The sequence below is a fragment of the Homo sapiens genome, chromosome 22 (assembly GCF_000001405.40).
Source record: "Homo sapiens chromosome 22, GRCh38.p14 Primary Assembly".
In the NCBI taxonomy this organism is placed as follows: Eukaryota; Metazoa; Chordata; class Mammalia; order Primates; family Hominidae; genus Homo; species Homo sapiens.
The window spans coordinates 39,569,268-39,583,884 of NC_000022.11; the positions used below are offsets into that span (position 1 = coordinate 39,569,268).

The 14,617-nt window shown below is 55.1% G+C and overlaps 1 protein-coding gene across 2 annotated transcripts in view, besides 1 other annotated feature; it reads left to right on the top strand.

Moving 5' to 3' along the window:
• Positions 1,486-14,617, top strand: part of CACNA1I (calcium voltage-gated channel subunit alpha1 I) — a 118,983-nt gene continuing 105,851 nt past the window's right edge. For both annotated transcript variants that reach the window (NM_021096.4, NM_001003406.2), the window contains exon 1: positions 1,486-1,721. In NM_021096.4, coding sequence (NP_066919.2) covers positions 1,486-1,721 — 236 coding nt within the window. The remainder of the gene's footprint in view (positions 1,722-14,617) is intronic.
• Positions 5,505-6,006: an enhancer, noted in NCBI's record as "H3K4me1 hESC enhancer chr22:39970777-39971278 (GRCh37/hg19 assembly coordinates)". NCBI's record gives its function as "activates a minimal SCP1, AML or CMV promoter by ChIP-STARR-seq in primed H9 embryonic stem cells {active_cell/tissue: H9 hESC(primed)}" and the evidence as "EXISTENCE:reporter gene assay evidence [ECO:0000049][PMID:30033119]".

Consider the following 14,617-nt stretch of genomic DNA (forward strand, 5'->3'; position numbering starts at 1 on the left):
TCAGTTTCTTCACCTGCCAAATGGGCATAATAGTCCTCCTGAGGTTGTTGTGAGCATCAGACAAGGCCAGGGAGTAGAAGTGCTTTGAGTTGGAGTCGGAGCCAGCAAGATGATTTGCATCACCTAGAACAAAATGAAAATGTGGGACCTCTTGATAAGCAATTAAGAATTTCATGTTGGTGACAGAAGAATTCTAAAGCAAGTTCAGGGCCCTTCTGAGCACGGGGCCCTGTGCAGCTGCCTGAGCCACAGACCCAGGAAGCGGGCTCTGACCGGAATTCTTTTTTTTTTTTTTTTTTGGTGACAGAGTCTTGCTCTGTTGCCCAGGCTGGAATGCAGTGGTGTGATCTTGGCTCACTGCAACCTCCACCTCCCGGGTTCAAGTGATTCTCATGCCTCAGCTTCCCGAGTAGCTGAGATTACAGCGTGTGCCACCACACCCAGCTAATTTTTGTATTTTTAGTACAGATGAGGTCTCACTATGTTGGCCAGGTTGGCCTCAAACTCCTGACCTCAGGTGATCCACCCACCTTGGCCTCCCAAAGTGCTGGGATTACAGGTGTGAGTCACGTGCCTGGCCTTTGACTGGAATTCTATTTCTGCTGTTACTCTGCTACATGTCTGTCCTGTCCCTTCTCTGGGCCTCGGTTTCTTCATCTGTAAGGCAAGGAGGTTAGACTCTAAGATTCCTGGGTTCTCAGCCTTGTAAGGCAGTGGCTGGGAGGTCCCTGGGTCAAGGGCTCAGCTGTAGGTCTCAGCTCAGGGGTTACTTCCTCAGGGAAGCCAACTGTGATTCCCTCCTGGCTTGCCAGCGTTCCCCCAGTCTCTGATTCTGCAGCACCCCAACATTGCCTTTGTAACCTGCATTGTCCTGGCAATAATGTCTGTCTTTACAATCACCTCTTTTTTCTTGCAAGTTTTCTTTACCTTTGATGGTGCAATAAATACATAGCTCTAGTCTTGTAAAAAAGTTAAGATCCCTTCCTTCCTTCCTTCCTTCCTTCCTTCCTTCCTTCCTTTCTTCCCTCCCTCCCTCCCTCTCTCCCTCTCTCCCTCCCTTCCGTCTTTCTTTTCTGTCTATAATTACTTAAACATTTTTTCTCTTAAATAATGAAAGATTTCAAATACAGAAAATTGCCAATAGACAAAAAAAAAAGAGTTAATATCACAATTATATTCTAAGAAGGCTTTATTCTCCCCACTATCTTCGTTTGCCAAAACTGAGGCTCAGCCAGGGTGAGCAGACTTGCCCCATGATCACCCAGCTTGGAAGCAGATTCCAAGTTGGGTGCAGCTGGGCCCTCAGCTGTTTCGTAATCCTCATGCAAGAGTGAGGGTGAGGGGCCTGTGGGGCTCAGGTGGGGCTGTCAGAGCTGCATCCGTCCACTTATTGGTGGAGAGGCAGGTTGGGGAGCATGTACCAGGCCTGTCCCCACCACGTGCCACCCTCTCTGTCTTCCCCAGGGCTCCCAGCTCAGTGTGGACATGGCTGAGAGCGCCTCCCCGCCCTCCTCATCTGCAGCAGCCCCAGCCGCTGAGCCAGGAGTCACCACGGAGCAGCCCGGACCCCGGAGCCCCCCATCCTCCCCGCCAGGCCTGGAGGAGCCTCTGGATGGAGCTGATCCTCATGTCCCACACCCAGACCTGGCGCCTATTGCCTTCTTCTGCCTGCGACAGACCACCAGCCCCCGGAACTGGTGCATCAAGATGGTGTGCAACCCATATCCTCCGCAGCCTCGGCTGATCGGGGCCCTGCAGGGGCTGAAGGGTGGGGGGCTGGATTGAGTCCTGCTGCTCACACCTTGCTCCGGCTGGGAGACCTGAGGTCTGCGGTGAGGCCACTGGGCCTTGGTGGTGGTGAGCGAGCTCAGAGGGTGGGTCTGGGGAGACCTCAAATGGATGAGGACCTGGTGTTCTGCTGATGTGAAGGTTCTGGAAGTTGCTGGTGGCTGTGGGGTCAGTCCAGTGGCTGGCTGGCTCAGAAAGTCCTTGAGTGTGGGCCCCAGACCTGTGCTGGGCTGGGAATGCAGATCAGTCAGACTCTGGAGCCACCTGATGGGCCGTGACCATACAGAGGATGGGAGCCGTGATCAGGAACTGTGGGCGTGGGCAGCGGGGCAGCCGATCCCAACACACAGGGCAGGACTCATTCTCCTTACTGTGCCTCCGAGCAGCCTCTTCCCAGGCCTCCTGCCTCCACTTGCTGCCTCCAGTGGGCTCATGTTCCCCCTGCTTAAGACTGTCATGATTTGCTATGGTCCTGGAGGTGCAGAGCAAAGTCCTAATCCAACCCATCAGGGCCTGTGTGTTCCACCCAGCCTCACTTCCCACCACTTGGCTTCCCCCCTGTGCTCTTCTGAGCCTCAGGGTCCTCTCACTGGCTCTTCCCCCTGTCTGAAAAGCTTTTCCCTTCCCCCTGGACCTGGCCAAATCCTTTGCTACATCCTTAAAATCCCAGCTTAAGCATCACCTCCTCAGGGAAGCCCTCTGGGATTCCTCCTCTGCTTCATATCTAACTGTCACATCTAACTGTGGAATTCTGAATCTAACATTTGCCTCCCCTGGGGTACTGTCAGATGACTGGGATGGGGACCCTAGCACCTGGCACAGTGCTTGGCACATCGTGGGTGCTCTGGCAGTGTTTGCTGGGTGTACATGGGCAATGCCAGAGCTGACTCCTCAATAAGGAAGAGCGTTGGTTGGGTAGAGAGGGTAGTGGGAGGCAGGAGGAGGGCATGGCAGGAGCGAAGCCTGGAGAAGGGAGGAGTTGCAGGCAGTGTTGGAGCCCTGAGGGGCAGAGAGGAGTGAGGTGAGGCTGCAGGTGTGGCGGGAGCCCTGCAGGGCCTTGGAGGCTGCATGAGGGATGGGACTGTGCTCCAAGGGCAGGATTTGAAGCAGGGTCTGGAGAGATCTGTGCTCTGGAAGGACTGTGTGGCACTGGCTTGCAGGGTGAAGTGGGGGCTGGGGACCACTGAGGAGGAGGCTTGGGGACCCAAGCCATGGTGGCCTTGTGGTTTGAGGGTCCCACCAAAAAATGCCCATATGTGGCTCGAGGTTCTGGTGCTTGTGGCCACACAGGGCAGGGTGCGGGGAGCTGGTGGGTCAGGTGCAGGCCTGAGTCCTGCCCTGGAATCCAGGGATGCCAGATGCAGGCTGGGATGTTGAGACTGGCTGCAGGACTGCCAGGCTTCCCTTCTGTAGGGGGCTGAGGTGATCGTGGGCCCTGGATCCCCCTAACTTTTGGAAACCAGCGGGTCTCTGCTGGAGTGGGATGCAGAACTGGGTGTTCCTTGCTGGGTGGGGGCTAAGAGCCTCCCTGCTCCTTCTGGGGGACGGCTCACAGCGTCTCAGGCTTGGTGAGAGGGTCTGCTCGGTAATTAGTTCACCCAGCACTCACTGACATCTGCCCTGGGACACTGAGGACAAAGAGGCAGAGCTGGTGTCTGTCCCAGGGAGTGCCCGGGGAAGAGGGAAGCAGGGACCACCCATTTGGCTAGTTTTTTTTTTTAGATGGAGTCTCGCTCTGTCACCCAGGCTGGAGTGCAGTGGCGCGATCTCGGCTCACTGCAACCTCCGCCTCCCAGGTTCAAGCAATTCTCCTGCCTCAGCCTCCCGAGTAGCTGGGACTACAGGCACCCACCGCCATGCCCTACTAATTTTTGTATTTTTAGTAGAGATGGGGTTTCACCATGTTGGTCAGGCTGGTCTCGAACTCCTGACTCGTGAACCGCCTGCCTCGGCCTCCCAAAGTGCTGGGATTACAGGTGTGAGCCACTGTGCCCAGCCTACGTGGCTAGTTTTAATACAAAGCACTGGGGAAACCTCAGGGGCTTGTGGCATGTGAACAGAGGAGTGCCAGGCCTGAGAAGGGGGCGGCCGCAGGAATTTTGGGCCTTTAGGAAGAGAAAGGCTGGTAGGAGGACCAGGGGGACAATTTCACAATGTCTCAGGGGCCTTTCCTGGGTGAGATGACAAGAGTTGATTCTGGCTCTGTCACTTGGGTGCTGTGTGACCATGAGTAAGTCACTTTGCTTCTTTGAACCTTAGGGGGTCTGGATGGGCAATACTGCTCTGGGCTGGAGGCAGGGGCATGGCTCAGAGGACTTGGCCTGGGAGTCTGACCCAGCTGCGTCTCTGATGGGCTCTGGCTGGGCTGGCTGGGGTGCTGCCCACGTGTCACGGAGAGGCCCCTAGATGGGGGTGGTCAAGTCCTGTCTGCCATGTGTGTGACCCTGGGCAGTCTCCTCTCTCTGAGCCTCAGCACCTCCACCTAAAAAGGAGACGGCAGACGAATCACCCCTTCCAGCCCTGGGAGCCCAGGGTGTTAGCCACACACGCCATGGGGGCTGCCTTGATCTCAGGCACCCTGACGCCTGACCACTGAGTGAGCCAGCCCCTGGGAACCCACCCAGTTTTCCATATTTCTGGCCTGTTGGGCAAACAGAGTCCTTGGGGCCACTGTCTCCTTGGTTTTCACCACCCCTCTCACCTCCATCCTCAGGTCATGTGGGTTGTGGCCTGGGGTTGGAGACAACAGTGGGGCTGGCCCAGGAGGGAGAGGAGTACTGGTTTCGGGAGGAGCTGGGCCTGCCTCTTGTCTGTCTTGGAGAGAGCCCTGGGTCCAAGGGGTGGGGCAGAAAGCAGCCCCCCTCCATCAGGAGGGACTTTTCAGTCCCGGGAGCTGCGCAGAGCGAGGGTTCCCCCGGCATCCCCATGGCCAGGGCTGCTGAGGCTGGACTGGGATAGAGGTGGTTCAGGTCTCGGCCTTAACTGGTGGGATACGGACTCTCTTCAGGCCAGAGATGTGGCGACTCAAAAGCACAGCAACTTTAAAGGTGTCAGCTCTGGGACACTCAGACTGAAAACTTCTGCGACAGTCTAAGGGTTCAAAGTTAAGATTTAAGGCTCAGCGACACTGAAATTCTAAGCTTCTGTCATTCAAAGGCTGCAAAATTCTGTGTTTCAAAGAGTGTGTGAGCCTAAGACTTGGTGGCTGTGATGCTGTGTGCCTACGAGTTGGAGGATTCTGGACCCGGTGGCTGCAGCCGCTGCTGGCCTGAGAGTTCATAGCTGAATTGGGTCAGGTGGGAGAGGGGCCAAGGAGGGTTCCACAAACAGAGACCCAGGAGACGTGGCTGTCCATAGGGCTGTCCCCTGGAGCAGAGACTCAGTCGTGGGGAGCTCAGGGTGGGCTTTAGGGGCTTGGGATGGGGTGCGTGTGTGGGTGGGGCAGGGGCTGAAGCCTCTAGGATTCTTTCCTGGCTGGAAACTTCACTCCCTCTTGTGCTCTGTGGGAGGGGGCCTGGGGCAGTGCTTAAGCTTGTACTCCTCAATGGGACACCATTGGCATTTGGGGGTTGACGGTGCTTTGTAGTCTTGTCTGTCTTGCATATTCAATAGTAGTAGTGTCCTTCAATCATTGTGACTACCATAAATGACCTTTCACATGTCTAGACCCTGCAAAGGGCGACTCTTTCCCCCACTGAGAACCCAAAGGGGTGGTGGGTGCGTAGCATCAGAGTCAGGCTGGTGGGAGCTGCTGTCATGATGGCCAGGCCCGGGAAGGGGAGGGCAGCATGGGAGGGTCCCCCAGACAGCCTGTCCTGAGCTCATGTCCTGGTGCTGAGGGGCCCTGGCCCAGAGCCAGCTGCTCTTTGAAGCCTGGTGCTCCCTGACTCAGCTCCTCTTCCAGCCCGGAGCTAGGCCCTGAGTCACCGCCTGACTCACTGGAGAGCCAGCAGGCTGCTGGGACCCTTGTGGAGCCTGCAAGGTGGGGTGGGAAAGGGCCACTCGCCCATATGTCAGCACCGCTCCCTGCCTGGCCTGGGCCGTGGGCATGGGCTGTCAGCTGCAGATGCAGCTGCAAGGCCTCTGGATTCGAAATGTCAGGGGATACATTGTGCTACTTGAATCACGGGGAGGTGGCGTGTGGCACCGTGGAAAGCGCTGGGCACCTGAATCACACAGACCCAGAGGCTGGTTCTGTCTCTTGCTGTGTGACCATGGGTCAGTTTCTTAACATTTCCGAGCCCCAGTTTCCCCACCTGTCAAACACGGGTGGTAATACCCACTCCACAGGGTTGATTGCACTGAGGACAGAGCAGGACAGTGTGACAGTGGAGTTTGGGAACTGGAAAAGCCACCATATGTGTGGTTATCACTCTGATTACCTGTGCCTGAACCCTGAACAGGGCCCTCACGTACTGCTGAGTCAACACTCTGCTTGCTGTAGATTCAATTAGACATTGGGGACAGGTCTTTAGATAGAACATAACACCTTCAGAGGACATTGTTTCCAAGGAACATCAGACCCAATCTCTGTTAACTTAGGTGGATTTGAGCTTGTTCTGCTGCTAGTGGCCATGCCCCCCATCAGTGCAGACATTGCTAATCGAGCCTGCCGGCATTCTCCAGCAGGGCACCTCTGGCAGCTATGGGGAGCCATCAGCCTGAAACCTATTATTATTTTCCACCCTAGATTAGACTTTCAGAGCCTTTCTTTCTTTTCTTTCATTTTTTTTTTTTGAGACAGAGTCTCTCTCTGTCACCCAGGATGGAGTGCAATGGCATGATCTTGGCTCACTGCAACCTCTGCCTCCTGGGTTCAAGTGATTCTCCCACCTCAGCCTCCTGAGTAGCTGGAATTACAGAAGCGCACCACCATGCCGGGCTAATTTTGAATTTTTAATAAGAGATGGGGTTTCACCATTTCAGCCAGGCTGGTCTTGAACTCCTGACCTCAAGTGATCTGCCCGCCTCGGCCTCCCAAAGTGCTGGGATTACAGGGGTGAGCCAATGTGCCTGGCCTTCAGAGCCTTTCTTAGGAGCATAGCTGGCTGCATATGAGTGAAGGGCCAGAGTGGGTTGCACTCACTTCCTTTTCCCCCTCTCTGAGCCTCAGTTTTCTTATCTCTTTAATGGGTTGATTAAAGATGATTAGCGATGGTTCCTGTAAAGCACCCAGCGGTGTGTCCAGCACAAAAATGTGCAGGATGAGAGCTGATGCTGATTGCTGAAAGCATTTTGTCAGCTTTAACCCTCATAACCACCCGTGGGGATAGGGGCTCTCATAGCCCCATTTTACAGATGAGGAAAGTGAAGCTCAAAGAGGTTGAGTCACTTTTATCCAGGGTTGCACAGCCAGGCTGTGGCGGAGCTGGCATCAAAACCCCGATTTCTGTGCCTCCCCAGTCCTGGCTTTTATTCAGGACAACATTGCCACCTGCAGAGTCTGGAGAAACACCAGGTTCTCCACACTCCACCAGGGCAGAGAGGAGCTTCCCGTTTCCAGGCAGTGGGGCAGTGGCGCTTCTGCTGTGGTGGGAAGCAGTGATGCATAGTGCGGAAGCCAGTCGGCTGTGAAGGCCGCCTCTCTGCTCGGGAAAGGGGAGGGCGCCAGCCTGCGGGGAGGCAGGAGAGGCCAGCTGCCCAATAACCCTTTGCGCCCTCGTCTCCCTGTCTGTGGGATGGGGAAAGTTGGGCACCAGGTCTGGAAGGGGCTGTCCAGGGCACCCATTTCCCGGCCGCCCTCCTCGTGGGTGGGCCCCCGCCTCTGTGCCTTCGTGTTCCTGGTTCTCTCCTGACCGCGCCTTGCCCCTCTGCCGACTTCTGTCTGCTTCTGCTCCCCTGTCTGGCTCCAGCTCTCTGCCTGCCAGTGCTGGGGTCTGGATGTCTGTGCTTCTTCTTCTTCTTCTTTTTTTTTGAGACCAAGTCTCGCACTGTCGCCCAGGCTGGAGTGCAGTGGTGCGATCTCGGCTCACTGCAACCTTCGCCTCCCAGTTTCAAGTTATTCTCCTGCCTCAGCCTCCTGAGTAGCTGGGATTACAGGCACTCACCACCACACCCAGCTAATTTTTGTGTTTTTAGTAGAGACGTGGTTTCACCAGCCTCCTGAGTAGCTGGAATTACAGAAGCGCACCACCATGCCGGGCTAATTTTTGAATTTTTAATAAGAGACGGGGTTTCACCATTTTAGCCAGGCTGGTCTTGAACTCCTGACTTCAGGTAATCTGCGCAGCTCGGCCTCCCAAAGTGCTGGGATTACAGGCGGGAGCCACTGCGTCCAGCCAATGTCTGTGCTTCTAAGCGGCCATCTGGTTCTGCCCATGCACCTGGTGGAGACCCCTGCCTCTCGCATCCACTGGTTTCATCTGGCACTGGGCAAGAAGAGGCCAGGGCGCCCGGTCTCCTCATGGCCCCTCGAAGCCCAGTCTTGTGCTGCGCGTGACGAGGGTTGAGGCTGTCGAAGGAGGGGATGGCTCGTGTTCATCCATTGTTCTCCCAGTCATTAGTACATCCACCGAGCATTTCCTGAGTGTGAGCTGTGAACCTGGACTGCGCGGAGCACAGCTCTGGTCTTTTTGTACAGGAGGAAAACTGCTCTGGCTGTGCAGCCAGGAGACCCGTCGAGAGGCGCCTGTGGGACGATGGCGAGAAACGACGGTGGACCAGCGTGCCGGCTGAGGGCCTGGAGAGGGGGCTTGGTGCAGCCCTGGCTCCTTTAGGGTTGGCGTTAGGAGATGGAGACTCAGAGGTGACCCCAGGGTCGGTGGCTTGGTTGCCAGGTGAAGGAAGATCTGCTCCTGGCTTCTTAGACCAGTGGCCTTGGCCAAGTTCCTTGCCCTTGCTGAGCGTCTGTTTGCTCATCTGTGAAATGGGGGCCACAGTGACCCCCAGTTGGGGATATTAAGGGGGATCCAATGAGAATTCTGGGGCAAGCATGGACAAACTAAGTGCTGAGTGGCAGCTGTGTGTACACTGGAGCTGACGGAGTCGCTGACAGGGTCCTGAGCCTGCAATGGGCGGAGACGCCTAGGGCTTGGCCAGGGTGGGAAATTGTTGGCTCCTGGAGGTGGGAGGGCGGGAAGGTGGGGAGTGGGGCCTGGAGAGCTGTAAGTGTGTTGGGAGAGGAATGGCGCCATCTCTGCAGAAGACCTCCTCCCATCGCCTGCTGTCCCTGCCCTGGTCACTTAGCCCCTGCCCCTGCCTCTGAGCAGGCCACCTCTCAGTTCTGCTCCAGACAGGGCCTCAGGCCTCTGGATAAAGGCCTCTGGGACTCTCTGGGAGCTCTGAACTATTAGGAAGTCCTCCCTTAATCTAATCTCCATCCTCCCTGCCCCCAGTCCTTTCTGGTGGGGCTACTGGGAGTGTCTGGGGTTGGGTTCTTCCATCTCTTCTTGTCTACACAGGCAGCTCCTGGGACCTTGCCCCACGTGACGACTGGTACCACCCTCCCTCCTCCTCCCCTGCTCTGCAGAGAGAGCACTGGGCCAGGTACCCAAAACCGTGTGACCTTGGCAGTCACCTCTCCCCTGGGCTCCCCCTCTCCTCCCCAGTTCGCCTTCCTCCTTGGGGGTTTGTCTGCTGTCAAGTGCTGTGTACCCGGAGGGGCTGCTGTCCCAGCCCTGCTCCACTGCTCCCTGCCTCCCTTCATTTGTGTGCTGATTCTTTCCTCACTCCCCGTAGCTCCTGGGAATCGGCTAACTGAGCCTGGACTCGAGGTCTCCACCATCTGCCTATTATCCTCCAGCCCTATTCTTCCCGTTCTTTCCCTTGGGGTCCAGTGCTCTGTTTTGAAGCCCCAGCCAGCTGCTGAGGCTTCCCAGCCTTTCCCCTCCTCTGCCTTTGCTCCTGCTGGGCACCACCTGTGATGCCCTTCCCCATCGCCGTGGTTCTCAACCCCACCAGCCCCACAAGCCCAACTTCCAGGCACCATCGGCAGGAAGTCTTCCCTTTTCCTCACTAGCCTCCTCAGCCCTACGTGGGCCCTGCCCTTCTGTCCTCCCAGTAGTTGTTTGCTGCTAGCTTTGTCCCCTGCACTGGGCTATGACACCCTGGAAGACAGGGCTTACGCCTCTGACGTTACCATGTCTCCAATGCCCAGCACAGGCCTGGCGCTGCCAAGCTTCAGGCACTCTCCAGTTCACAGAGCTCTTCCCCACCTACCATGACCCATCAGACTCTCTGAGCACTCCTAAGAGGGTACAGGGCAGCGAGTGCCAACTCTCCAACCATGGCTGGGGAGACTGAGGCCCGGGAAGGGAGCATGCCATGCCTAGGGCCACACACTGAGTCATCAGCAAAGCCAGAGAAGGCAAGCTCAGGACCCAGACTGTCAGGTAAGAGCCATCCCTACCCTAGCCCGCTTATGGCTGGCTGTATCTGTCTGTTTGCATTGCTGTGTAAGAATACCCGAGGGTGGGTAGTTTATAAAGAAGAGAGGTTTATTTGGCTCATGGTTCTGCAGGCTGTACAAGAAGTGTGATGCCAGCATCTGTTTCTGGTCAGGACCTCAGGAAGCTTTTACTCATGGTGGAAGGGCAAAGGGGAGAAGGTGTGTTGCATGGAGAGAGAGGGAGTGGTGCAAGGCTCTTTCAAGCTCTTTTTTTTTTTTTTTGAGACAGAGTTTCGCTCTTGTCACCCAGGCTGGAGTGCCATGGCGCGATCTCTGCTCACTGCAACCTCTGCCTTCCAGATTCAAGCGATTCTCCTGCCTCAGCCTCCTGAGTAGCTGGGATTACAGGCGCCCACCACCATGCCTGGCTAAGTTTTTTGTATTTTTAGTAGAGATGGGGTTTTGCCATGTTGGGCAAGCTGGTCTGGAACTTCTGACCTCAAGCGATCCACCAGCCTCGGCCTCCCAAAGTGCTGGGATTACAGGTCTGAGCCACCATGCCCAGCCTCTTTTAAGCTCTTTTAAACAACCAGCTCTTACATGAACTAATAGAGAACTCACTTGTTATCCAGGGGAGGACACTGAGCCCCTCAGGAGAGATCCACCCCATGACCCAAACACCTCCCTCTAGGCTCCACCTCCAGCATTGGGGATCATGTTTCACAGGAGATTTGGAGGAGACACACATCAAAGCCATATCTCTGGGGAAGGGGCTCTTTAGAGGGGGAGGTGTCCCTTCCGCCTTCAGTCCTGGCCTAATGGGCTGTCCAGACGGGAGGCCAGCATTACTGGAAGCAGCAACACATGTCTGGGAAATTGTCCGTTTCCCTCCAACTGCTGTGGAGAAAGTTGTTTTTCTCAGAAATAAAAGTCAGCCTCAGGCACCATTCCCAGGGATGCTCAGCCGGGCCAGAGCGGAGGCTGCACTTTCACTGACCAGCAGGGTGGGCCCAGCAGGCATTGGAGGAGCCTGACCCCCAGGGCAACCTCAGGTACCCTGGCATGGAGGTTTTCGTGTAAAGAGAACTGCAAGGCTGTCCCTGATCCAACCTGGGGGCACTGGTGAAGCCTGCCTAGGGGAGGGGCTATTCAGCCTGGGTCTTGCTGTATAAATAGGAATTTTCCAGAACAGTTCAGGGAGGGTTTTCCAGGCAGAGGGAACACGGTAGGGCACAGGGAGGGGTTTAGTGAGGCTGGAACCATGTGGGGCAGGGGCTGGATGGCAGGGTGTCAAATGCCAGGTTAGAGCTTACACTTGGTCTTGTGGGCCACGGGTGGGTGTCTAGCAGGGGTGGGACTTGGGCAAATTCACTTATTAGAATGGTGACTCCCAAAGCAGACTGGAGGATGCTTGAGGGAAAGACTGAGGCATAGAAACCAGGTAAGAGGCCCCTACAATGGATACCGATGGATGGATTGATCACCCATTCATTCGACAAGTGTTGGAGCCCAGCTATGTGTTGGACACTGGTCTGGGCTTGAGTGGAGGCGCCCCCAGGCCTGTTCAGCCATGTCATGTGGGACCGCAGTACACCAGGCCTGGGCACCCGGTGGTGACCCTAAGGAGTCCCCAGCCTGATGGAGGAGGCAGAGCCACACCCGAATCACACTCTTGTGAAGGAAAGTGGAGCCTAGGCTGGGTAGAGGGAACCTCTGGGGGGCATGAGTGACAGGAGAACAGGGCAGCCAGCTTGTTCTGAGTGGGGATGCCACAGGAGCCTCCTCCCATGAAGAAGGAAGCCTCAGAGCTAGGGCAGGAGAGAGCGGGAGGGGAGAAGTGGGGAGGCAGAGAAGTGGGATGGGGCATGGCCTCCTGGCTGAGGAAGCAGCCTGATCAAGGGCTCAGAGCTGAGTTTAGGGTCACCAGGTTGCTAATAGCCTGGTGTGTGGGCTGGGAGAGGATGTGCATGAGGATGGAAGGACATTTGGGGTCCAGATTCTGGAGGGCAGAACGGAAGACTGCGAGGGGAGGCACCGGTGTGGATGAGGGGCCTTTTGTATGCTGGGTGCCGTTCCTGCTCCCAGCAGCTGAGCCGGCCCTGAGTCACCCGTTTGACAGAGAGGCGAAGTGCCTGTCCTGGGCCACCCAGCCTGGTGGGGGCTTGGATGGGAGACCTGATGGGATGGGAAGTCTCATAATTGAAGGAGAACTAGAAAGCAAGCTGGCCGGCTGTTGAAGGGCCAGCCCCTGCCAGGGAATTTAAGACATGATTGGATTTTTACTGGTCCATCCTACCTGGGCTTCTGCCCTGCTGCCTCCCTCAAACTGCCTCATGGTCCCATTGAGAGACAAATAGCCTCATTTATTTTCCTTGGAGAGAAATCAATAAGTCTTTTTAATCAGCCAGGATGTCTTCTGCTAATCTGTCTCCAGCTCTCCTGTAGGACCACCTTTCACATTTCTATCCTCATCTGCCGAGTGGAGCCATGCTTTGCTCTCTAGTCTTCCTCTTCTTCCCCAAGTTCAAATCCTGACACCGGTGCTTATCCTGTGTGATGCTGAGCAAGCTATCTGGCCTCTCTGAGTGCACTTCCAAGCAGGAGGAGAAGGCTTGGTTGGCTGAGATGTGCTGTGCGAATGTGAAGGCTTGTTGTGCAGAGCCGTGGGAAGAGGGCCGAGGTGGAGGTGGACAGAGCAGGGGGTGCTGAGGACTATACCTGGCTTTTCCCAGTGGAGCAGTGGGGGAGGCTCCCAGCCCCACACACATGTCACAGTGAAAGGATGATTATGGATTGACTCTCCCCAAGGTACAGTTTGGGCTTCACCAAGTACAAGCTTGACCTCAGGCAAGTAACCCCTCCTCTCTGGGTCTCAGTTTCCTTATCCATAAAATTGGGGTGGGGTGGGCTATATCAGTGGTTTTCAATCGGGGTGACTTTGCCTGCCAGGGGACACTTCATAATGTCTGGAGATGGTTTTGGTTGCTCCAACGTGGGGAGGATGTGCTACTGGTTTCTAGTGGGTAAAGGCCAAGTACACTACAGTGCACAGGATAGAGGATAGAGTCCCACAGCAAAGAATTATCCAGCCCCAGTGACAAAGAATTATTCAGTGGCACTCAGTCTGAAAAACCCAGCCCAGGCAGTCTCTGAGATCTCTTGAAGCTCTGAAAGTGTAGAACAGTATGGAGTCGAGGGCCTTGGAGGGAGGGCACCAAGACTGAGAGTGGGGATCCCTGAAGGAGGAGGAGGAGATGGTACAGTCACATAGACTTGGATTAGAACCCTGGAGCTAACATTTACTGAAATGTCACATTCCCAACTACCTTCCCATACTCCCACTCACCCATCTTCCCCCATACACCCCCCCACCCATCTTTCCCCCATACACCCACCCACCCATCTTTCCCCCATACACTCACTCACCCATCTTTACTCCCCACCCACCCTTCTTTGCTTCATCACTCCATCCGTTCATCCAACCATCCATCTATCCATCCATCCATCCATTAATCTATCTAACCATCCATTCATCCATCTAACCATCCATCCATCCAAGCATCCAACTATCCATCCATCCAACAATCCATCCATCCCTCCATCCATCCACCCACCCATCCATCCATCTGTCTTTCCATCCAAGCACCCAACCATCCATCCATCCATCCATCCATCCATCCATCCATCCATCCATCCATCCAACAATCCGTCCATTCATCCATCCAACTGTCCATCCATGCATGCATCCATCTCTCCATCCATCCATCCAGCCATCCATGCATGCATCCATCTCTCCATCCATCCATCTATCCAACAATCCATCCATCCATCCATCCAACAATCCATCCATCCATCCATCCATTCATTCATCAATCCAACTGTCCATCCATTCACCCTTCCAACCCTCCAACCACTCATCCATTCAACCAACCATACATTCATCTATCCAACCATCCATCCATCCAGCCAACCATCCAACCATCTATCCATCCATCCATCCATCCATCCATCCATCCATTCATCCACCCATTTAGCCATCCATCCATCTATCCATCCATCCACCCGCCCACCCATCCATCCAGCCATTCATCCATTTACCTATCTTTCCATCTCTTCATGCATTCGTCTGCTTATCCACCCATCCCTCCACTCAACCTTTACATTCATGCATTTATCCACACATCTTCCTAACAATTACTTATTTAATCAACATTGACCCCACTACCCAAAACCCTATTTACACAACCATCAATCCATCCACTCATCTATCCATTCATTTGTTTGGCAGATGCTTGTTGATTATCCTTCCACATTTCTCATCCATTCTACTGTCTGCTGAATGCCCAGAAAAAACCCATATTGGGCACGATCACTCATCCTTTGAACCACTCACAAGGCCTTTTGTATCTGGCTTATTCTCCTCACCTTCTGCTGGACTATGAGCTCCTTGAAGATGGGTTCCATGTTCCAAGAGTGCCTGTTTCTTCCCTAGACCTTGGCCAC